Source organism: Homo sapiens, chromosome 1 (genome assembly GCF_000001405.40).
Source record: "Homo sapiens chromosome 1, GRCh38.p14 Primary Assembly".
NCBI classification, from domain to species: domain Eukaryota; kingdom Metazoa; phylum Chordata; class Mammalia; order Primates; family Hominidae; genus Homo; species Homo sapiens.
Window position 1 is genome coordinate 38,720,757 of NC_000001.11, and position 24,759 is coordinate 38,745,515.

Genomic DNA, 24,759 nt, shown 5'->3' on the forward strand with positions numbered 1-24,759 from the left:
CTCCCATACTCACTTGCTAGATGGCAAATTCCTTGAGGGCAGGCATATGATCTGCTTGCCTTACCTTTGTTTCCTTCACTCCTGCTCAGAAATCCACTCCAAAGTACATGAAGCAAAAAGCAATTAAGCAAATGGGGATTTACCTGGATGCAGGTGAGCCCTGACCACTATGAGCAGGACCAAGATCAGGAACCCAAGCACTTAAGCATCCTTAAGCCTCTCTCCTCTCCTCTTTCCTCTCCTCCTTTTCCTCTTCCTCCTTTTCTCTCTTTGCCTCCCTATCCCCTCTCTCCCTTCCTCATACCCCTGCCCACTTCTATCTCCCATCTAGACATTCATTTTTCTTTCTCCTCTGCAGAACAACATCTTTGAGCCTGGAACAACCTCCCTACAAGATCTATTCAAGTCTGCAGTTTTGAGTGACCCAGCCTCACTCCAGTCTTGATTCCAAATTTCAGGGAGAAGAGAGAGAATCGAATTGACCCAGCTGGTGTCAGATGTCCACTTGGGTCCATGGGTATTTACAATAGCAAACATTTGTGGAGCCCTTCCTAAGTACAAGCTCTAAAAGCTTACGTGTATTAACTCATTTTAATCCTTACCAGCCTTTGAGGTAGGTGCTGCTAACAGCCTCATTTTACAGATAAGGTAAACACCATAACAAAACTCGGATTTGTGTGGCTAAATTGACACAGCTGGTAAGTGATGAAGCCAGGACATTGAACCCAGGGAGTCTGACTCCACAGCCCAGGTTTTTTGGTTTTGTTGTTTTTTGTTGTTTTTGTGTGTGTGTTTGTTAGTTTTTTTGAGACGGAGTCTTGCTCTGTCGCCAGGCTGGAATGCAATGGCGTGATCTTGGCTCAGGCTCACTGCAACCTCCACCTCCGGGTTCAAGCAATTCCCCTGCCTCAGCCTCCCAAGCAGCTGGGACTACAGGTACGCACCACCATGCCTGGTGAACTCTTTGTATTTTAGTAGAGACGGGGTTTCACCATGTTGGCCAAGATGGTCTCGATCTCCTAACCTCGTGATCCACCCGTCTAGGCCTCCCAAAGTGCTGGGATTACAGGCGTAAGCCACCACGCCCGGCACAGAGCCCAGGTTTTTAACATTATAGTATGTTGGTTTGGGACATTGTTTTTTTTCAGACAATAGACAGCCTAGTGGGGAAACAGGGCCGTGGTAGCCCATTCTCAGAAGTGGGCAGTTGTCAAAGAAACACTATCCTTAAAAGCCCTTTGCTTCTGCTCAAAGTGGTGGGTGGATGGGTGGGTGGATAGATGAATGGAAATTTAATGCCATCTCCTTGTTGCTCAGCTCATTTCACAGCAAAGTACTCTATCAGCTAAAAAACAACTCTAGAGTATCCTTGAAGTCAAAAGAGAAGAAGGGAGAGGAAGGCCAGGGCTTTGGGCTCTCTTATCTCAATGGCTTGAAGGTTTTGGTGTTGAAGGGATGAAAGCTGAAATTCCTAGGCAGGAAAAGATAACCCACTCCTCCTTTTATTCACTAAATTATCTCAGAAAGGATGGAAGCGAATGCTTAGAATGGAATGAATCAAAATGACCAAGCCATTAGGGAGAAGAGGAAGTGGAAGGATAGGGTTCTTGGAAGTTTCCAAGTGGGACAGAGACCAAATGGCACATGGTACCCATGATGAGGACTTGCTGTGATGGGGCAGGGGGAGAAGGTAATTAAATACTACTATCTGCCGCCTTCAGATCTACATGAAAAGACCCCTGTGGCCAAGCGTAGCACAAGGGCTGAGGGGTTCCCCACCTTCTAAACACGGTGACCGGCATGGACTCAGACCAGAGCGGACTGGGTAAGACCCTCCAGAATGTTTCTAGTACTCAGTAGTGGAGGGAAGGCAAGGAACAGAAACCCATTTGAAGACTTGATCTTGCCAGCTTAGAAAGATGGACACTCAGAAGAGGTGAATTCGGACTTACAGAATCAAAAAGACATGTGCTATCTCTTAACTCTAGCGTTGTCATCTAAGCGCCTCTTGTTGAAGTACCTCCTAAAGCCCAGTAAGCCAATGCTTGTCCCCGGATGGGCACAGGTTGTGTAAGTCACCTTTTCCCACCAGCATTCCCCGTGACACAGCTGTCTTTTCAGTCTCATATTGCTTTGCCTCCTGTATTAGTCAGGGTTCTCTAGAGGGACAGGACTAATAGGATAGATGTATATATGAATGGGAGGTTATTAAGGAGTATTGACTCACAAGGTGAAGTCCCACAATAGGCCGTCTGCAAGCTGAGGAGCAAAGAAGCCAGTCCAAGTCCCAAAACCTCAAAAGTAGGGAAGCCAACAGCACAGCCTTCATTCTGTGACTGAAGACCCAGGAGCCCCTGGCAAACCACTGGTGTAAGTACAAGAGTTCAAAAGCTGAAGAGTCTGATGTTCAAAGCTTGGAGTTTGATGTTCGAAGGCAGGAAGCATCCAGCACAGGAGAAAGATGGAGGCCAAAAGACTCAGCCAGCCTAGTCCTTCCACATTCCTCTGCCCGCTTTTATCCTAACCACGCTGGCAGCTGATTAGATGGTGCCCACCCAGATTGAGGGTGGGTCTGCGTCTCCCAGTTCACTGATCCGAATGTTAATCTCCTGTGGCAACACCCGCACAGACAAACCCAGGAACAATACTTTGCATCCTTCAATCCAATCAAGTTGACACTTGATATTAACCATCACACCTCCTATGTACCCTAAATACAGAATATATTGATCTACTGTTTAAAACCTTTCTGAGGAATTTATTGTCCTCAGAATAAATCTAAACTCTTTAGCCAGGCTGTAAGGTCCTTCATGTGATGTACCCTGCTGACCCCCAGCTTTATCTCTCCACACCCCTTACCCCCAAAGTCACACTGGCCTTCTTTCAGTTTTTTGAGCAAGTCTTCTTGTCTCAATATCTTCGGGCATGCTAGTCTCTCTGCCTGAATACTCTTCCTCCCAGCTACTTAGATATCTCTCTCACACACACACCCTGACCATCTCTTCCCATCCTTCAGATCTCAATCTCCCTAGAATGCCTCCTAGGACCACAACATTGGGTCTTAAAATCAATGTGCACATTGAAAGTGGTTGTGTTTCATTCCTCCTGCCCCCCAGTAAGTTTTCATATTAAATCAACAGTGTATTGTCTAATCAGTGTGCATGTTAGATTTTTAAAACTACAGTCATTGTTGAATGAATGAAATACAAGTCCTCTGCCCCTTCACCCACAGTGCATTCTTCTCTGCTTCTGAGGCCAGCCCACTCACTTCCTTGTCCTGAAATCATTCAGTCTGTCCCCTCTGCCTGCTCTGGCTTCTACTGTAGATCTACAGCCATACTCAGAAAACTCCAGACAGGTCTGCCTTCTTTACAAAGTAGAGGGGCGATGCTGCCTGCCATTTCATCATGGGGCCCCTCAGATCTCATGGGTTTAAGGTGCCAATGCCTTAACCCAGGTGAGAGTCTCTGATCCCCAACAATCTAAGCAGCCAAGCATGCGGTGGAGTTTCCTGCAGAAGAACCAAGTTGGTACTTTTTTCAATGTTCTAGACTGAATTATTATAGCCAGAGGGAGCCATTCATCAGCTCTGACACTGCAGGAAGCTTCCTAGGCAAACAGCTTTATTGCTGCGTGAGATTAACCCAGACTGTAGTAATTTGTAACAAAGATAAGAAAATTGCACTGGTCTCTCAGAAATAAATCTGAATTCCAGAGTGGACAAAGGGGACTTCAACTTGAAATCTGCTATTTCAGATATAATCAAATTTATAACAGCCCCTGAAGAGTATAAAAAGCCAAGGGCAGCTTCCTGTTGGAGGTGTCACTTCAGGACCCACCATTATGAAATCAATTTAGCTGGAATTCCTAACAAGCCAGGAGCCCAAGCCTCACCTAACTTTTATGGAAGACTATTTGGACTACTTGAGCGTCATTCCCTCATCTGTCTACCTTCACGATATGAGCAGATGTCATGGGGTAAGAAATGCAGGCTGGGATGTGAGGTCAGGCGACCTACCTCTTACCAGCTGTAAAATCTTGGAGAAACAGAGACGATAACGGAGGCCCCTCCCAGAGCTGTTGTGAGGATTAAATGAGATAAGAATGTGAGAGTGGAATACAGATGTCAGTTATTAATGAGAGTCTGGTAACCTGATAGACATGATGGGTTGAACTCTTACAGGTGCTCTGAGCAAGACTTCACTTTACCAGCTTGGCCTCATTTCACTCTCCCAATAATTGCACAGTCAGGGAACTGTAATTATGCCCATTTACAAATGAAGAAACAGAAGGCCAGAGAGGTCATGGAACCTACCCAAGGTCACACAGCCAGTAGGTGGCATAAAATGGCCAAGTGTTCTTGGCCACTATAGAGTGCTTTCTGCTATGCAGCAGTTGCTGTGCTAGACACAGGGATATAAAGGTGACACTCCTGTGGTACCAGACCTGGCAGAGCACACAGCCTGGCTGGAACGCACACCTATCAATAAGAACCTTTACTATATTAATAATAAGTGTAAAAAGTAAAGTAGAGGTTCCTCTTCAAAGACTTTCCTCCCCATTTAATGAGGAATAAATAGTAACTTCTTTTAGAAGCAAAATGTATTCAAAGACCTGTGCTAACAGTCTTAAATATCTGCCAGCCGTGATAAAGAAATCAATGTACTTTACGTTCTTAGCTCCCACAATTTAGCCTAAATATTTGCCCTGGCATGCTTATACTGGTCCAAGCAAACATTAGGTCGTAGCCTGTTCCTCTTCCTTATTTGAAGGTGTTTTTTTTTTACCTTTCCCAGCATTGCACAAGTTACTTCCTCCTTCCTTTGTTCTCCTCTGCCTTTGCCTCTCTTAAAAAGTTCAAGTTGCTAGCCAATCGGGACAAACACAGAATGTGAGGTCCTGTTCCAGCCAATGGAAACTGGACACAGCAGTAGGGTGGACGCGTCAGGTTATAAATTACCCTGTCTCCTTTGTTAGGGGTACTCTCATGGCAAAACTGCTGGCGAGTGTATCCTTTCTGCAGGAAGCAAAAATGGCCTTGCTGAGTAACATTAAATTTATGTTCAAGTGCCATTTCTTTAGGGCACCGGGGAACAAGCATTTCAAACATAAGTAATGCTTTGTAAGCACAGTTCTAGGAGCTTTATACAACTCTCATTTAGGACTTACACAACCAGAGAGAAAGATAGACACCATTATCACTGTACTGCATGGACAAGGAAACAGGCCCTGAGATCATACACTGGTAAGCAGTGGGGCCAGGAATCTAAACAAGGCTATATACTTATTTCTCTATTGCAGGAGTAGATGCTATAAGAGAAAGACTAGAAGGGTCATGGGAATCTGGGCTTGAAAAGGAGCCAAAACATCTCCCCAGAAGAAGTAACTCTTGAGCTGCTTATTTAAAAAGAAGTAGGAGTTTGTCCAGCAAACAAAGGGAAAATCAAGTGAAATCTCAGATTGTCCTGCAGCCCTAAAGGACTCTACCCTTGCTGTGCAGGGTGCCATCACAATTGTCCAGCCTGACCACACATACAGAAGGACAGCTGGCAATATTGAGCTGGCAGTGCTGGCGTTCATCTAGAAGACAGGGACCCATTTCACCATCTCTGCACGCCCAAGGCCCACACAGTGCTCAGTGCCATTCTGTAGACTTGAACTGAATCCAGAGGACCTTGGACCTAGAAAAGCTCTTGAAGACTGGGTCATCCAAGTTCCTAATTTTATGGGTAGGAAACTGAGTCCCAAAGAGGGAAAGAATGGTGAGACTTTTCAAATTCCATGTGTACATGGGTCCAGAGGGCCCCAAGGCAAAGGTGGCAGCAAGGAAGTAGCATGGAGCCAGGGGAGCTGTCTGGAACCGGATTTGGACTGGAGGCCAGAGTTAAGGTGGTCTCTGGAAGCAGAAATGGGTAGGAGGCAGCATAGCACGGAGGTTATAGCCAGATAGATCTCAGATTAATTGGGGTTCTGCCTCCTGCTGGCCACATAAGCTTGGACAAATTAACCGCTGTGGGTGTCAGTTTCCAAATTTGGAAAATGGAGGCAATATCCCCCCACCATAAGACTGTTGTGAAGATTAAGGGAAATTATGCATTTAAAAAACTCAACATAGTGCCTGGTGTACAGCGAGTGCTCAACAAGCAGTACTGATTACCAGGGTCACAGTTACACTTTAACCCATGTTAAAAGGTGAACCCACTTAGAAGTGAACAGGCTGCTCTTCTCCGCATGAAATTCCCCCTCTTTACCGGCCTCCATGTTCGCAGGGTCTCTGAAAAACAAAAATACACATTCTAGCATTTTGCAGGGAGCCACAGATGCTTCCCATTGATGCCTATTAAAAAGGGGATTGGTGAGGTTTGCTTCAGAAACTTTCATGGGAAAAGTTCCCCAAAATGCATCCAATCCAGAGGTGAGCACTGTACCTGGGTCACTCTGCCAGCAACTCCCTACAAAGCATTCACCTCCCTCAAATCTGTTCCTCCTTGAGGGTCCAGCAAGACGTCTCTTTTATACTTCACCCAGAAATAAAGTAAATATTTTTCAATGAAATTCAGCGATTAATTAAACACCGTCCCTCTTTAATAAGAACGTTGAACCAACAGCCGGCTGCATATTCCGACAAGAATATTTAAAGCAATTAAACTTTAGCTACTTTTAAAACAAATTCTTTTAAATGCTAATGACCATTGTTTTCACATTTGATAAGTAAAATTTTGTGTCGAGCAAGGTTAGATGATTGCAATGATTTAATTGTACTTCTCAAAGAAAGGAAAATGTTAAGAAAAAAGCTAAGATGGACCTCTTACCACATTCCTACCGCAAAATGTCCTGTAACAATAGAAGCGTGATTTGCTGAAATTAAAATGCTATTATGGTGAAATTAGGGCTTCAATATTTTTAGCAGCTTTAATAGGCCTTGCATTTTAAGGGACATCTGATAATAGATAATTACATTTCATCTTAAAGAAACTGAGTTGTTTTCTTAAGGAAAATACTTTTCTTTCTTCCAGAGAGGTTAAAGCCGAGCCATCATTAGAAGCAGCACCAAGCTCGAGGTTCCTGCTTCAGCTTGGGAAATAAAGATTAGCATATAAATAGCCTTCGGTGCCTGCTTGATTCCAGCTATTTTGCGTTTCAATGTGGCATCAGAATGCACTTAGCAAGAAATGTTCGAGAGGAGAAAGAGGTTTGTAATATGTCGCTTTTATAGAGGGGGGAACTTTAAGTATAAAAGATCATCCACTCCTCTGCGGGCTTGTTTTTTTTTCTTTTCTTTTCTTTTCTTTTTTTTTTTTCCTTTCAATGTCCCAATTACAGACTCCAAGGAGCCAACAGGCCCCCTAGAATGGAGCCTTAGTTTATGCTACAGCTCTTTCTCCAGACCAGGAAAATAAATCAAAATGGTGTACAGGAAATAAGATAAATAAGCGGACTTCCTCCCGGATTCAGCTGGAGTCCTTGGGGGGCACAGCCATGCCCTTTCTCCTCACCCCCACGCTACCCATCAGCAGCAGGGACGTGGGATGACTCCTCCAGGACCCATTTGCTGGAGCAATGAGGGACACTCCTGGCTTTCTGCCTGGAGGCCTGCTTCCCTCCTGGGAAATCGTGGAGACTGGGCATGGAGCCCGCGGTTCTTTCTGCCTCCCCTCCAGCCCCCACTCCCACCCCTACACACACACATACCACATTCACGCTGACTGGTTCAGGCTGAGTCTCCGGCTGTAGCAGGATGACTCGCAGACCTCACACTTTTTCTGCTTGGCACGGGGCAGAGGGCAGTTCTGAATGGTGCTACACGGCTGTTCTACGGGACCTTGTTTTTCCTGGGTGTGGCAGTGGTAAAGGGGTGTGGGCCAAACAGTGGTAGCCTCTAGTCTAGTTCCTGGGGTGGCTTGGGCCAATCCAGAGCCCTGGGTTCTAATCCAGACTCCCCTGAGAACTTGGAGACAAGTCCTGCCAGCTCTGAGCCTGAGTTCCTTCACTTGTAAAAAGAGAATTATAAACCCTGCCCTGCCCACTCATGAGGCTGTTATAAGAACCGAGGAATGGATGTGAAAGAACTTTGTAAGCTCCCTCCCATGTTAGCATCATGTGATTAGGACATTGCTGAGGTTTTTTTTCCTGGATTGTCCTTTTGTCCCAAGACCCCAGGTTTCCTTCTGTCCACCCTAGCACCTCATCTATGCTCCCTGGACTCTGCCTTCCCACCCAGAGTGAGAGGGTGAGGAATAGATAGTGTTTAGGAAATTAGCTAGGAGGTAACAGCTCTCAGCTATCACGGCAAATGCACCCACTTGGGTTGTCTGAAGATGACTGTGTGAAGACAAGGCTGGGGCTTAAGAGGTGGAGTACAAAGGGACCTGGGCGTCAAGTCCGAGCCCGTAGCACCCTGGACAGGTCATCCTGCTCTTGGAGCCTCTTTTCCCCCCTCAGATAGGAATGTTGATAATTTGAGGTGCCTTTCATGGCTATTCTAAGGCTCAACATAGAAAACAGGCCAGAACAGCTGGGCGCAGTGGCTCCTATCTGTAATCCCAGCACTTTGGGAGGCCGAGGCGGGCAGGTCACCTGAGGTCAGGAGTTAGAGACCAGAACATGGCAAAACCCCGTCTCTACTAAAAATACAAAAATTAGCCGGGCATGGTGGCACACGCATGTAATCCCGGCTACATGGGAGGCCAAGGCAGGAGAATCGCTTGAACCCAGGAGGCAGAAGTTGCAGTGAGCTGAGATCACGCCACTGCATTCCAGTCTGGGCAACAGAGTGAGACTCCGTCTCAAGAAAAAAAAGAAAGACAGAGAGAGAGAGAGAGGGAGGGAGGGAGGGAGGAAGGAAGGAAGAAAGAAAGAAAAAGAAAGAAAGAAAGAAAAAAGAAAGAAAGAAAGAGAAAGAAAGAAAGAAAGAAAGAAAGAAAGAAAGAAAGAAAGAAAGAAAGAAAAAAAGAAAACGGGCTAGAGAAGTGCGGGGCATTCATTTGCTTCTCATCCTTTTAGCCTGCATTCAGAGGGGGTAAGGACCAGGCTGGGGTTCCGGCAGCCAGTCCCCTCCCACCTCTCACCTGGCAGCAGCTTCCTGCTCCCAAACCCAGCAGGCTTTGCCACAGGAAAAGTGCCCTGGTGGGCTGGGGGCACTCCCTAGTCTCTGCAAGATTGGCCCTGACTCTGCAGGATCTCTTCGGGCTGCACCACATCCTGCAGATGCCACAGGCACTGTCTCTGTAGGAGGGTCACCACCGCTTCCACAGAAGCCCTGGTAATCCCAAGGATTCTAACCAGGCTGTGATGGGGATGCCGTGCCTGGCTCCTCCAGGGGAAAGGTGCTGATGCACAAAACCTTTGCTCCTTTTCCTGCTATGTCCCACAGCTTCAAACACAGTGCTGACAGAAGAACCACGTGAATTCTGGACTTCATGCATGAAGATTGTTTTCATCCCAAAAAGCTGTGTTTGGAACAAAGGTAGCTCCTTACAGGAAACCTGAGGGGGTTCTTTGGGTGACTTGGTGAGGCTCTGGCAAGGTGGATTGGAGGGCAGTGGGCTCAGACCAGGGTTCTGGGTCCTGGTCTGCTCTCTGCTGCTTGGGTGAATTGGTCCTTGGTCTTGGGTGAATTCTTCCCACTGTGCAGTGAAGTTAATCTATAATTAAGGGTTCTGCATCAGTCTCCAGGGATCATTCCTGCTCAAACTTCTGTTCTTCATATATTACTATTCTCCTGGGTTTCTTCTGGCCTGAGTACTTTTCACTCTAGCCAAGATGCTCAATATCATCTGTTTTGCTAATCCAGGCAACTATAGTAACAGTGTCCATGTACAGGGTCTTTTATTATGCCCATTTTATACAGTAGAAAATCAAGGCTCAGAGAAGTTGACTGACCCCAAATGGAGAGCCAAGACTCAACCTCAGGTTTTGACTCAGCTTCAGATCCCAAGCTTTTACTCATCACACACTGGCACTTTCCCAGGTGGCTGCCTTAGTCGAATACTGGCCCATTTACAATCAACATAGTTGTAGGACAATCTGTGTCTCTCGTGCTAAATTGTTTTCAAATTCTGATACACAGAAAACTAATTCCACTGAACATTAATAGGTTTTCCTTGGGAACAACAACAAAAATGTTTCATCATCAAATGAATTTGACCCTAAGTAAAACAAGTAAACAGTTTCTTTGTACCTGCAGGACTTCTCAGGGCCTTTAAGATGCCAGTAAGGTATGCCATTTACTCCTGACCTTTATCCATGGACCCTTTCCTCCTTCTTTTTTCTTGAGCAACCTGTGTTCTACTAACAGATTAGGCTTCTGCAACTTCACTACTAAAAGTGTGATTCCCAGACAAGCAGGATGCAGCATTGCCTGGCAGTTAGTCAGAAATGCAGACTCTCAGGCCCCACCCAGACCTGCTGAATCAGAGCCTGCACTTTAAGAAGATGTGCAGGTGGTTCACATTGAAATTTGAGAAGCACTGGCCTGTAGTAAACATATTGGGAAACATGGCTGATTCATCATGGACTGTGTCCGTGTACTAGCCATCAACCCGTAAAATCAAGCAGGGACAAAAGTATCAAGCATTATTTGGCATTACGTGGACCAAACAACTAGATTTGGAATTAAGTCGAGATGCTGTAACATCACATAGAAATAATCCAAGCTAGTTCCCACAATGGAAAGTTTCTTCCCATTCCTAGGGAGATGTAAAAATGGATGGAGATGAAGGGATGACCAATACCCTTTCCTACAGCCATTCCTAAAATGTAGACATGGAAAGTATTGCATACCTCTTCCTAAAATGTAGAGGTCTTTAAATTCTTAGAAAGAGTGCACCTCTGTTTCCCTGGATCCCCTCTCAATTACAGAAGTGGTCAAGGTTAGTGAGTGTCCCAGATATTTTCACCTGGGATGCTCTTGGGAAATGGCACATTGGCCCCTAACCTGGGAACTGAAAAGACAGCCTCAAGGGTACAGAAGCTTGTCTTAAGGTTTTAAAAATCACAGCTGAAATGACCCATTCATGCAAGATAAGACCTGTGCCTCAAGAAAAATGCCTTTGCTTTTGGCTGCAATTATTTCAATTCATGTGGTCACACTCTCTCAAGCTGACCTGACATTTCAAGCTGCAGCTTGATATATCTTTGCTCAACAAAAGATGGGAAACAAATTAGTTTTTACTTAATGACTTCAATGTTTTGGGGAGAAAAAATCTTTGAGTTTGTGTGCAGAGGTTCAGTAACTGGCCAGAAGACATACAGCTTGTAAGCGATGGTGTCTGACTTAGAACCCAGATCTGACTGACCCCCAAGTCAGGACTCTCTCTATTATGGAGGCAGTTCAAGGACACACACACATTTTGTCATCCTCTTCATATTACTTGTCCCTAAACCTCTCCTTTTATAATGCAAAGTACTTCTGCTAAACCCCATGTTCCTCCCCACCTTCCCATCCCTATTCTATCTTTGGTTTTAAAAACTTTCATTCATCTTTATTGAATTCCTTTTTTCAGGTGCTGCCAAATTTACCAGCTGGCCAAGATTTTTCCCCATTCTATATTGTCATGCATGCAAATCATTTTGCTAGTGCTCCCCACAAATAGGACGACTCTGCGTCCTTTAGTCAGGTACTGAGCTCCATAGTCCCCTCTGGAAATCAGGTAACTAGCAACCTGTCAATCAATTTGGATGCATCTCACAGACAAGGTACTCAAGATGGAACTCCTAATTCCTCCCCAAGTCTTCCCACCTGCAGCATGGTACCACCATCAATTCAGCTGGGGGAGGGAGGAATCTAATCCTCTGTATTCCTCGTCCCCCACATCTTATCTATCAGTAAGTTCTTTCCACTCAACCTCCAATAGAAGTGCTAAATCCACCACTTCTTGCCTTCACCACTGTCACCAGCAGTTCTAAATCACTATCGTCTCTCACCTGGACCCCTGCAAGTGTCCTAATTAGTCTTCCTGCAACTATTCATGCCCCTTCCAGCACCTGTTCCACAAGGCAGCCAGAGTAATCAGCCATTGGAAACAGCATCAGATCACACCACTCCCCTGCTTAAAACCCTTTTCTATCAGAATGCAAGTTCTGTAAGATTTGGAACCCAACTCTCATCTTCACCTCGTATCCCTAGTACCTACAGTACAACGGTGCCAGCACAAAGTAGGTACTCAGTAAATATTGCTTGCATGAATGAATCAAGTGATAACCTTAATTGCAAACATCCAAAATCTTCTATTATTTATAGAAAAGTGGCTCTATCTCTTTTCATTTTTATTCCAACATTGTAGTGGTTGTTCTCTAATTTCTGTGGAGATGTCAACATATGTAGACTCTAGGCAATTTATTTTTCCCCTTCCCTCCAGAAGTAAAGTAAAAGGAATATGTGACTCACACACACAGATGCATCTCACGCCAGTTGTGTTGCTTGAGAATAGATGGGAGATTATGCTGATTGAACTGGACAGTTTCCATTTTTATTATTTTAATTATAAACACAAACTATTGGGGGTAAAATCTTATGGAAATCTGCCTATCAATTTCACAATTAACATCTCATTTCAAGAGACCAATCAACTCAAATGAGGGCCAGTGACCTTAATCTTTCCCCAAATACAGTGTTTGATTCCTCTTATTAGTTGAAAATCTCCGAACTATGAAACATGTGGGTTAGACCGATGTTTGCTTCAACGATGCTATCAGCCACATTTCAGTAAGTCAAGGAATTTTTGTGACCTTTGCGTTACAGTTTGTATGGACAAAAGAAGGAAGGCTAAAGCTGTGCAAATCAAGTAGGAGAAATAACAAGGCCACTTAAGTAGGGTCTCTTTTTTTCATTTATTTTTCTAAGACTGTGGAAGGAAGTGTGATTTTAAGGCAACTTATTTTGCCACTGATTAGCTAAAATTAACCCAAGAAGAGAGTAAAGCCCAGAAGTGAAAGGCAGCTAATTTTAATCCTAAAGGTCTGTAAAAAATCCTATCAGAAAAATAAAATTCTCTTTGTGATATAGGAGAAAAAAAAACTTGGCTTTTAAAAAGAAATGCAACAGAAAAAGACAAATTTGACCTGGCAAACAATGCGTCTACTTAACATCAATACTCCTGCAAAGATTAGAACAAGACCATACACTCTGCAGGGTTAATCACTACTCCCAAAACACCAGAGGTTCCACCTAAGTAAACGCGGGACATGTACACACAGGTACCAACCAATCATTAGAACTAGACAGACCAATTACTAATAGCCTGTTAACAACCAGTTGGGCAATTTCACTTTGGAGTAGACTTGGGGCACACAAGATGCCAAAACTACCCCTGAAACATTTCAAGGTCAGCCAAGAAGCTGCCAGTCTTGTCTCTCTGACTGCATTGATTGATGTGCCTTGAGCAGCTCCATCCAAGCCTTTGCGGGGGTGAAGGATTTTTCTTCAACCTGCTCACATGGATGATTGGCTGTTTGGGATCTGTATGGCTAGAATTCTTAAGCTGCAAGAAATAGAAACCAACGTAAGCTAAGCTGAGGCAGCAAAGGGGAATTCATTAAAAGGATATAAGACTGTTTCTTGGAACTCAAGGGCACAAATGGCACCAGACCTCAAGAAAGAACTTGCTGCAGGTCTCTTTTCTGTTCCTTTCATCCATTTGCTTCTCAGTTCACAACAGAAAGAAATGGCCACCCCCTACTCCCAAGTCCCCATCTATTCTTTTCTACAGACCATCCCAGCCAGTCCTAGAATTTTTGAGTCTCAAATTTTGAGGAGAAAGAAACTGAATTGTCAAATTTGGATCAGGTATACCATACTATACCTTCAACCATGACCAAGTGGACTGTAACACAATGCAGACATGACTATAAGGGTTGGTGCACAAGGATGAGGAGGGAAATTCAGGAAGATTACCATGAGGTAGGCAGAATCTTCCAGAAAGTATCTAATAAAGGACTACATTATCACAACCAGAGCCAACTGAACTAGCCTAACACACAGAGCCGGGGTCAAGCCAAATGATTCCCATTGTACCTTTGGTCAGACCTTCTCCATAGGGCAAGAGGCCAGTACCCAGTAGAAACGAATAACCTGCAGCTGCTTCACAATGCTCTGGGAGAGGAGCCACAGCTATACTCTCTGAGAGCACCCTGTATTCTTCTTCATCCTGCTTATGACAGTTTGTAATCCTACATTTATTTTAAACTTGTTTAATGAGCATCTCTCTCCATCACTCAGTTTGAAGCTCTACAAACAAGGTCAGGTACCATATTGGTTTTACTTCCTGTCCTAGTCCATTTTTGCATTGCTATAAAGAAATATCTGGGACTGGGTAATTTATAAAGAAAAGAGGTTTAATTGGCTCATAGTTCTGCAGGCTGTACAGGAAGCATGATGCTGGCATCTTCTCGGCTTCTGGGGAGGCCTCAGGAAACTTATGATCATTGCATAAGGTGAAGGGAGAGGAGGCACGTAGGCACATTACATGGTGAAAGAAGGAATAAGAAAGAGAGCAGGGAGGTGCTACACATTTTTAAATGACCAGATCTCACAAGAACTTACTATCACAAGGACAGTACCAAGGGGAATGGTGCCAAACCATTCATGAAAAACTACCCCCATGATCCAATCACCTCCCACCAGGCCCCAACTCCAATACTGGGGATTACAGTTCAATATGAGTTTTGGGCAGGGACATAGATTCAAACCATATCACTTCCCTTCATCTTCCTGGCACCATGCCTGACACATACTGAATACTCATCAAAGAGTGAATAAAATGAATGGAGTGGAGGAGTCCAAGGAAGTTTTGCCAGATGATTTGGTACATGAGTTGAGTCTCAAAGGACAAACAGAGTCTTTTAGGAGAACAAGCTGGGAGAGCATCCCTGGCAGAGGGAATGACAGAGGGCCCAAAGGCACATAGTGCAAATACCACAGAAATGGTGAGGCAGCTTGCGGCAAGAGAGCTGGCCAGGAAGTAGAGGTGGAGGTCACCTCATCTTGCATAGAGACTGGAGGGCTCAGAGCTAGGAATGACGTGTCTAGATTGTAGACTAATCCATCTGATGGGAATGTGGGAGCTGGACTGGAGGCAGGAAGATGAGCTCGAAAGCTTATGTAATCATCCAAGAGAAAAAAGCAATGGTAGTGAGGATGGGGAGGAAAAGATTTTAAAAGTTAGTAAGGAAGTAGGATCAGCAGAAATTCAGGGAATACAATTTTGTCATTTGATGACCTAGTTATTTATGTACGTCTTATCGCCCATGCAAGACTGTGAGCTTCTGACTCAGTCTTCCTCATTCCTGTGATACCACGGCTGTTATGCAGTGCCCACCCAACACACAGCAAGTTTGTTGAGAAAATAAACTAATGAATGATTGAATCACTACCACCAACCAAAGTGGGGACAGCTGCCAGGATGGGGGGCCACACAGTGTCCTTTGAGGGTTTCATAGAAGTTTGCTGCTTGTATGTTTATCTTGCCTCCATAAAATGCTTAGAGGTGCTAAACTTCTTTTACAGTCCCCTCAACCCCCAACACAGGCCTGGACTCAGGGTAAAATGTCAGCCATACATCCCTGTTTAATGAGCTAGACTGGAGCAGACTGAAATGGAAATAGAAGGGGTCTCCTATTCTTTAGAAAGAACCTAATATGTAGACCCAAAGTGAGAGGAGAGACTGGTAGACCTTCCCCATTGTAGGTGTGGCAGGGATCCTCTGCCAGGGCTTCTGTGAAGATAACCTAACCTAACTGAGCTGCCCCTCATAGGCAAGCACTAGCAGAAGAGAGGATAAATCCCCTTCAATGGACCAAAAACACTGGAACCCCTTGGCAAAGACCAGAGTCCAAAAGCTTCAAAGAGCTGAGACTGAGCCTGAACAAATACCAGAAGCTTCTGACCTTAGGAAATGATGCAAGTGAATTAAGGGTGTTCCTAGCTCTGTTCTCAGTAACATGGTGAATGAATGAACAAGCGCATGAACAAACTAATAAGCAAATGTTTTCTACCTATTTATGATTTTTTTAAAAAAAGAGCTGACTGGAAATACATAATTTTTAATAAATAGAGATATTACGTTTTACCTAGGGGCCTCTATTATTATCTTGAAAACAGAGTTTGATTCAAACATTTGTTTCATTTCAAGAAAAGGTTCTATACAGAAATCATAAAGTAACCGGAGTGTGTTGTATAGCCTGATGGTCTCCCACACAGGGCAAGCCTGGCCTTTCAACTCTCACAGCAAACAACAATTTCACCTGCACATTCACCAGTGGCAGCTACCCAACGGGAGGCAAAAAAACCATGGGGGCGTAATTAGCCCACGATGATTTCAAGTATTTTGGTTGGCCTTAAAATTGTCGCTGTCCTATCAGTCAACATTTCCCCATAATTACCTCGATGGAAATTTTCTGTACACACAAACCAGTTTTACTGAATCACGCATTACGAAGAAGAAGGAAAAAAGGTGAATGCTGAATTTTGTAAAAAACAAAACTACACTGCAGGCCGGGCGCAGTGGCTCATGCCTGTAATCCCAGCACTTTGGGAGGCCGAGGTGGGCGGATCACGAGGTCTGGAGATCGAGACCATCCTGGCTAACACGGTGAAACCCCGTCTCTACTAAAAATACAAAAACAAAAAAATAGCCGGGCGTGGTGGCAGGCACCTGTAGTCCCAGCTACTCGGGACGCTGAGGTGGGAAAATGGCGTGAACCTGGGAGGCAGAGCTTGCAGTGAGCCGAGATTGCACCACTGCACTCCAGCCTGGGTGACAGAGCGCAAGACTCCGTCTCAAAAAAAAAAAAAAAAAAAAAACTACACTGCAAAAAAACCTGTACCAAAACCTATCTTGGTAGGTTTTCTTATATCTTTTTGGTTATGCATGTTTAACTTATAAATATTTTCTCATGTTACTAAAAACCTCTGCCCAAACACACTTTTAGCAGTTGCATAATATTCCTTCAAGTAGCTGAGCTGTGGCTTACTTAACCATTAGCCTCATTTTGGGCAATCAGACCTGTCTCCATATTGTTACATTATACACAGTGCTGTAAGGAATATCCCCTGTGCATAGAGTGGTTTCTATGTATCAAGTTAACCAGCTCGGAGGAACTCTGGGATGCGCAATTGAGAGGGATGATGCACACCTCTGTGTACATTTCCTAAAAGAAGACATTGCTTTTGTGCCCTGCACAGATTACAAGGCAGAACCAAGACTATGACTTCTGAGTGCCTTCCAGCTTGAAGAACCACACAGGCCAAAATTCCCCATGATTGGCAGCTTCAGAATCTCAGGACGGTATTAGGGCCCAGGTATTTGTATCTGAAGCTCTCCAGGGAAGGAAACACTGTGTCACATCCCACACACAGAAATACCCCCTCACAGGTGCACAGCCTACAAAGGAATCTGTGGACCAGAGCGCCTCATTGCAAACAGCTGAAGCTAATTGTAGCTGGCATAAGCAGCAAAGGCAAGATGATCCTTCAGCTCACAGCACCGAGGGGAGAACCCAGCTCCAAAGCAGGTAGAAACTCGGGAAGTCAGGAGGGGTCTGGGTAGGATACCACCTCCAGCTGCTGGCTCCACAGCCACTGGGAGGAATTCTAATACGCCCCCTACTCTGCGTGTCACTCAGCCAAGAGCCACTGCACAGGGTAAGAGCAGCTGATTGGCTGAGCATCACCACATGTCCATGCATACGAGTACCTGACCCCATTCCATTTCTGTATGAGAGGCAGAGCTTTCACTCCTACCTACTCCCCACATAAAAAGAGTATTTGGATACTAGGCAATCCCGGGAGACAAATATCTGCTGTGCACCTGTTTGGCCTCTATTACTTCATTCAACTTTCACAAGAACCCTAGGATGGTAGCAGAGCAGCAGTTATTCCCCGTCTTACCCATGAGGAAGTTGAGGCTCAGTGAGAGTAACTGACTGCCCAAACCAATGTCGGGGAAAAGAGGTAGACATGAGCCCTTTCTGCCTCTCAGAAGAACTGTTCATGGTCTAATCCTGTGAATTCTTGACAACAAATGTCTCTCATTTAAGCAATGAGTTATTGGAAGAGGATCAGCTATCACAATCGTTGGATACTGTACTTCATAAACTTACTGATCTGCGCATCATTTGTCTTATTTTTGTTGCTGTTAATACTTTTCGCCCCCAGAGAAAAGACTCTGAGCGGTGAGCTCATCTGTTCTGCCATTCAATGTATTAAATTAACACCTCAATGCGTGGACTAAAACTTAGAGGTGAAAAATCTAGTCCTTGCAGCCAAGACCGAATATCATTTATCTTAACCTTGCATATTAGGAGACTGTCTGAAAGGGCAACTTTGAAGTTCATGGAAACAAAGGTGTATGTTGCATCGTCTGGAGGACTAAATTTCAAAGAAAAAAGTTGGACCTGGTGAAATTTCACAATTTTGCTAAATCTCAGAGGCACCTTGCCTCTTTCTGCTTTGTCTTTTTCTGAGCTTTGGAAGCCGAATGGGAAGAGTCTAGGGTGGGGAGATCCAGGGGACCGCTCTGGAAGAGGTGACATTTGAGACAGATGGGCCTTGAGATGGAAAGTCACATGAGGCTATATGGAGAAAAAAGCATGTAGTAAGGTTGGTGCCCACAGGAGACAGAGGGAGCCCGTAGGAGGCAAGACGGGGTGAGGGGGACATTCCTGACTTGGCCTCTGGACAAAAGGATATTTTGACATGGACTAAAACCCAAGCCATTAATATGTCATCATTTTTATTATCAGCACAGTGGGTGGTGGGCATCCCTGCCCAATTCTTTTTTTTTTTTCATCAACTTTTATTTTAAGTTGTGAAGTATATGTGCAGGTTTGCTATATGGGTAAACATGTGCCATTGTGATTTGCCACACAGATCAACCCATCACCTAGGTATTAAGCCCAACATCCATTAGCTATTCTTCCTGATGCTCTCCGTCCCCCTCCCCCCTGACAGGCCCTAGCATGTGTTGTTCCCCCACATGTGTCCATGTGTTCTCATCCTTCAGCTCCCATTTATAAGTGGGAGAACATCCTGCCCAGTTCCCTTGAGTTTAGTGAGTTTAGTGAAACTGAGTGGTCATCCCTTGAGTTTAGTGAAACTGAGTGGTCAGAAATAAAGTGTGGATCCTAGATGTCTGTGGTTCGCATTATTTTATAACAAAATAACTGTATATAATTATATATTCTTACTCATATGTATATCTGTGTAGAAAAAAATCTAGGCTATAACCTACAGTATTGTCATCTCTAGGAGTAATAGGATAATAAAGGACATTCTACAAAATGTATAATTTTTGTAAGGTTTGAATTTTTTTCAATAAGCAAATATTTATTTTGTCTTCAGGAAAAACGAAGATAAATGACATCTTTAAATGATGGTTTTCTAATCCATATCACACTGATATGGCCACATTAAAACATCTCTTGCCACAAAAATGGCCACATCAACATGGCAGCATTCAAAAATCCTGCTTAGGGCCCCCAAAGGAGCTGAGTAACAAACATTCTGCCTCTTCCCACCCTCCCTCCAAGCTGTAGCCACTGGCCCATCCCACCGACCCATCCCAAATTCACTGGGACCCCAAGAACATGCCTTTTGGCAAATATTTAGAGTTGGAAGTTTTAAAACCCCAATGGATTAAATGGATCAGTGGATAAAGAAAAGAACATTTCCCAAGCTGTCATCAGGGGAGAAAGCCCATCCTCTGTGGCCACTTCACCATTTTCCAGGGACTCTGTAGAGAAATGTGTATAATATATAAATAATAGAATGCTGAGGTTGGGGGAAGCATCGGGGAGTTTCTAATGACCTGACCAGAAGATGAATGAGGGAAGAAATAAGGTGAATGTGAAGTGATCTAATTCTGGATGGTTATTAGAATTATGAGCAAACTGCCCGGGGCTTTTAAGTCAAGTCATATTGCTAGAGTTACTGTTTGGAGACGCACAACAGGAGAGGAGAAGCTTTGCATGCTCAGGCATCTCGGCTGAAATGTCAAGAATGTTGTCCAGTTTAGAAACTGACTTAATAACATTAGCATCTCCTGCCTGAGCCCGGCAGAGACCTTCGTGGTGCAAAATGTCAACACACCATTTCTCACACCTGGCCAAGGCATCTTTGTCCCCAAATCTCACAAGAGGTCTTTGCTGGCCAAAGGAGATGGCGAACCTCCTAAACATGTGTCAAGCCCCAGGTCTCCCCTCCAGGCCCCCCGTGAGGGGGTCCAGGGAAAAGGCCAGCTGTCTGAGCAAGTCAGGGGCCTGCCCTACCCTCCTCTGGCAGAGACAAAGAGGCCTGGGGATGTAGGGCGACTACCCGATCTACCTGTCAGCACAAGACCAACCTCCAGAGCCCAAGCTGTGGGCAAGAAGCTAAGACACAAAGGCCACAAAGAGGACCCCAGAGCCAGCAAGGACAGAACCACAGGTGCCAGGGACAAATGGGTAAACACATGTGGTGCCTCCTGTCCTAAGCACTGAATACAGCTATGAATAAAACCCCTCTGTCCCTGCCCTCCCAGACCTCACAGAATGCCAGGGGGGAGACTGACTCGATGCAAATCACCGCTAACAAACATATGTGATAACAGCTCCGAGGGAAAGAGAGGATGTTCTGAGAAGTCACAGCCAGCAGGCCCCATTCAGATTAGGAGTCTGCAAGACTCTGGGAAGTGACATTAGGCCAGAGCCTGCGGAATGGGGAAGAATCGAGTGTTGCAAGCCTAAGGAATGGCATGCGTCTAGGCCCTGGGCTGGAAAAGCCCTGCAGACAATCAGGGAGTGGAAAGGAAAGCAGCATGATTGCAGAGCTGTGAGCAAGGGCAAGAGCCACGCAGGCGGGGCCAGGGAGGCTGCACAGACAGCAGGCGGCAAGGGCCTGTGCTTTGGAGCGACCAGACTTGGTTTCAAATCCTGGCTCCACCACTTACTGTCTGATCTTCGGTGAGTGACTTGACCTCTCAGAGCCTATCTCTTCAAACACACAAAAGAAGAAATAGTAGGCCGGGCGCAGAGGCCCATGCCTGTAATCCCAGCACTTTGGGAGGCGGAGGCGGGTGGATCACCTGAGGTCATGAGTTCAAGACCAGCCTGGCCAACATGGTGAAACCCTGTCTCTACTAAAAATACAAAAATTAGCCGGGCATGGTGGCAGGCACCTGTATCCTCAGCTACTCAGGAGGCCGAGGCAGGAGAATTGCTGGAACCCTGGAGGCAGAGAATGCAGTGAGCCAAGATCCCACCACTGCACTCCAGCCTGGGCTACAGAATGAGACTCTGTCTCAAAAAAAAAAAAAAAAAGAAGGGATAGTAATCCTCTCCCTCTGTTACAGAGTCAATGCCAGGGTTAAGTGGTATCACACACACACACACAAAGTACTTTCTTGGCATAATAAAGGCTCATAGTAAATGTTAAATGGTTGAAAGTTAGTGTTGTTGAGAGCACCTGGTGGTCTGGGAGGGGCCACAATGATGTGGCTTGACCATTCTTCCCCCGGTGCCCCTGCCCTGGTGTAACTTTTCATTGCTAACTCTGACAGCCCTCACACAAGCCCTGTCTTTGATGGAAACTGTCACTTTAAGTTCTTCTGCAGCTGTCAGGGTCCCGTTCATTTCCTCTCCCTCTGCCTCACAGATGGGCCCACTGGGGCTCCCACTTCCACATCATCCCCATCTTGCTCCCAGGCACTGTGGCAGTCCTGGCTGGGATGGGTGTTTCAGGGCAGCCCCAACCCCTCTAGGAGCTGGAATGAAGCTGAAGCCCCCAGCCCTGGTCTCAGCTATCATCACTGGGCTCCACTGCCACTAAGAGTTCCAGGAGCAGGCCCCGGGACCCATGGAGCCCAGCCAGGCTGGCCCGGCTCTCAGGCCTCACAAACCTGACTCTTCCCTGACCGGGGACTCTAGAGTTTCCTGCCCCTGGCACTGTGATTACATCCTGTGGGCCTGGGCCTGTCCCCGGCTTAAATCATTCCTGCTTGCCTCCTGCCTAGGAGAGGCAGTCTTGCCCATGGGCCTCAGCACAGTCACATTTAGATAGAACTTCCAAGACCAACAGTCACCTATGGGAGTCCCAAGGGCCCCCATCACCTGCCTGCCTGCCAGCCAATCCACTGGGCCCTTTCAGGACCACAAGGGCCAGTGTCCTGTCAAACGTGCCACACTTTGGACCCAGGGCTTTGGGTCCACCCTAGGTACTCAGCCTGGCCCTAGTTGCCTCATCACTAGCTATGCCTTTGCCCACGTGCAATCCCCACAAGTCATCCTTGAGCCCAGTTGAGTTAGAAGAACACAATGGATTTCTCCACTGCCATCCTCCCATTCTCCCAGCTCTCTACGCAAATCTAAGTCTCACCCTCCAAAGTACATCACTGTTAAAACATAATCCCAAAATGTAGAATAGACTCCTGGGAAAAAGCCTTTAAAATGATAGGCATTTTTTGGTAGCTAAATTTGTGGAGCATTTGCTATTCATCAGCTACAGCTTAAATGGTTTACACGCATCATTTCAGTGAATTTTTTTTTAAATCTCTGAAGTAGACATCACTGTTATCCTCTATTATTCTCATTTTATGGATGAGGAATCTGCAACTCAGAGATGTCAAGTAACTTTCTCAAGATCACACAGCTAATAAGTGGGAAGATGAGATTCAGTAATCCCAGAGCTGTCTGACTTCAAATGAGCATGCTTGACCACTACACCACACTGCCCTCCCATCATCAGAGACACCAGACATCACCCCAGAGATGATGCCATTTGACCCATTTTTGTATAGCTGAGAAAACTGAGGCTCAGAGAGAGAACTGGGCTTGTTGAGGTCACACAGTGAACTAGAGGCAATGCCTAGGGGTTTCCAGGCTCACTAGCTTAGGGCTTCATCTTCCCCATCAATTACTACAACGCTTGCAAGGTAAGGAAAGAATATGCGGCCAACGACAGCGACCCCCAGTCTCTGGAGGATTATCCTGAGACTTTGGACAGAGTAACTGTTGTCCAACGCTATGCTGAGTTAAGAAAAGTGTTCAACTCTGGCTGCTCGGTAATACCCTGGGACGAGAGGGACATGACACAGTTTCTGCTTCCCGTCCATATCTCATGTTGAAATGGAATCCCCAAGGTTGGAGGTGGAGCCTGGTGGGAGGTTTGGATCACAGGGCTAGATCCCTCATGAAGGGCTTGGTGCCCTCCCCATGGTAATAAGTGAGTTCTCTCTCTCTGTTAGCTGGTTGCTTAAAAAGCCCGGAGCCTCCCCTGTCTCTTTCTTGTGCCTGCTCTTGCCATGTGACCTGCCTGCTCCCCTTCACCTTCCATCATGACTGGAAGTTCCTTGAGGCTTACAATCATCGGAAGCAGATGCCACTGTGCTTTCTGTACAGCCTGCAGAACCATAAGCCAATTAAACCTCTCTTCTTTATAAATTACCCAGTCTCAGGTATTTCACTCTAGCAGCACAAGAATAGACTAACACAGGACATTACTTCAGGAACGCTCCTGCACTGAAAGTCCAGCGGTGACCCACGAGAGGGTCACAAAGGCTGCAGTGGACTCCGAAAAGCTGCCGCGTGTCCTGTCGTGGGGCCCGGCTGGATCTGGAAGCCTGCCACTCTTGCTCTCCAGCTTTCCGAACCCAGGTCTTTCCTCTCTCACTCCATTTTTGAAGCCCAGGATTTGAAGTCCACTATGGCCTGAACATGTTCTCCGGAGGTGGGGCCTTTAGAATGTGCTGACTTTCGAGGTCATGAGGGCAGAGGTGAATGGAAATAATGCTCTTCCAAAAGGGCTGGAGGGAACTAGGCCCTTCCACCCTTCCATCTTCCACCCTCAGGCCATGTGTGGACATAGTGTCTCTCCACTCCAGAGGATTCAGTAACAAGGCGCCATCTTGGAAGCAGAAAGAGCCAGCCCTCCCCCGGACACCAAATCTACCAGCACCTTTATCTTGGACTTCCCAGCCTCCTGAACTGTGAGGAATAAATTCCTGTGGTTTGTAAATTATCTGTCTGTGGTATTTTGTTATAGCAGCCCAAACTGACTAAGACAGAGCCCAGAGGCCTATATTTGGGTCCATACAAGTGATGGCAATAAATGGCTCCTTCCCCCAGAGCCCCCTTTTCAAGAAATGGCCACACTCATAGCCCAGAAGGGCCATGTGTCCTGCACCACATCCATAGCTGACTGGCCACTGTTGGACACCTGACCCCAGCTGGGCCAATGAGATTATCTTCTCCTGTGATCTTGACATGAGCCTGTGGTGGTTCACCCTGGGGCATGGAGCTATGAGGTCAGGACACTCAAATGGTGGGGCTGATGCTCCCACCATTTTTTTTTCTTGTTTTTAGACGGAGTTTCACTCTTGTTGCCCAGGCTGGAGTCCAGTGGCGCAATCTCGGCTCACTGCAACGTCTGCCTCCTGAGTCCAAGAGATTCTCCTGCCTCAGCCTCTCAGGTAGCTGGGATTACAGGCGGCCGCCACCACGCCCAGCTAGTTTTTTATATTTTTAGTAGAGATAGGGTTTCACCATGTTGGCCAGGCTGGTCTTGAACTCATGACCTCAGGTGATCCACCTGCCTTGGCCTCCTACAGTTCTGGGATTACAGGTGTGAGCCACCATGCACAGCCCTCCCACCATTTTTCAAAGGATCACAATGTGAACAGAAGTCAGGCAAGAGAGAAAGAGGAGAATGAAGAAGTCCTGAGTAGATGGGAGGTCGTGAGGCCCCTCTCCTGGGGTGACGCTTGTCAGGACAACTGTATTCAAAAGCGA

The 24,759-nt window shown here is 45.9% G+C and overlaps 1 long non-coding RNA gene across 1 annotated transcript in view, besides 3 other annotated features; it reads right to left on the minus strand.

Moving 5' to 3' along the window:
• The window catches only part of LOC105378660 (uncharacterized), a 35,682-nt gene extending 27,883 nt beyond the window's left edge, over window positions 1-7,799 (minus strand). The window contains exons 1-2 of the long non-coding RNA XR_947213.3: window positions 7,693-7,799; window positions 6,203-6,274 (exon numbers count right to left, since the gene is read on the minus strand). This is a non-coding gene — a long non-coding RNA (uncharacterized LOC105378660). The remainder of the gene's footprint in view (window positions 1-6,202; window positions 6,275-7,692) is intronic.
• Window positions 6,181-7,706: an enhancer, noted in NCBI's record as "VISTA enhancer hs1031". NCBI's record gives its function as "enhancer in: nose[3/10]" and the evidence as "EXISTENCE:transgenic organism evidence [ECO:0001131][PMID:17130149]".
• Window positions 20,447-21,121: an enhancer, noted in NCBI's record as "H3K4me1 hESC enhancer chr1:39206875-39207549 (GRCh37/hg19 assembly coordinates)". NCBI's record gives its function as "activates a minimal SCP1, AML or CMV promoter by ChIP-STARR-seq in naive H9 embryonic stem cells {active_cell/tissue: H9 hESC(naive)}" and the evidence as "EXISTENCE:reporter gene assay evidence [ECO:0000049][PMID:30033119]".
• Window positions 23,781-24,075: an enhancer, noted in NCBI's record as "tiled region #12321; HepG2 Activating non-DNase unmatched - State 23:Low". NCBI's record gives its function as "activates a minimal TATA promoter and a strong SV40 promoter by Sharpr-MPRA in HepG2 cells {active_cell/tissue: HepG2}" and the evidence as "EXISTENCE:reporter gene assay evidence [ECO:0000049][PMID:27701403]".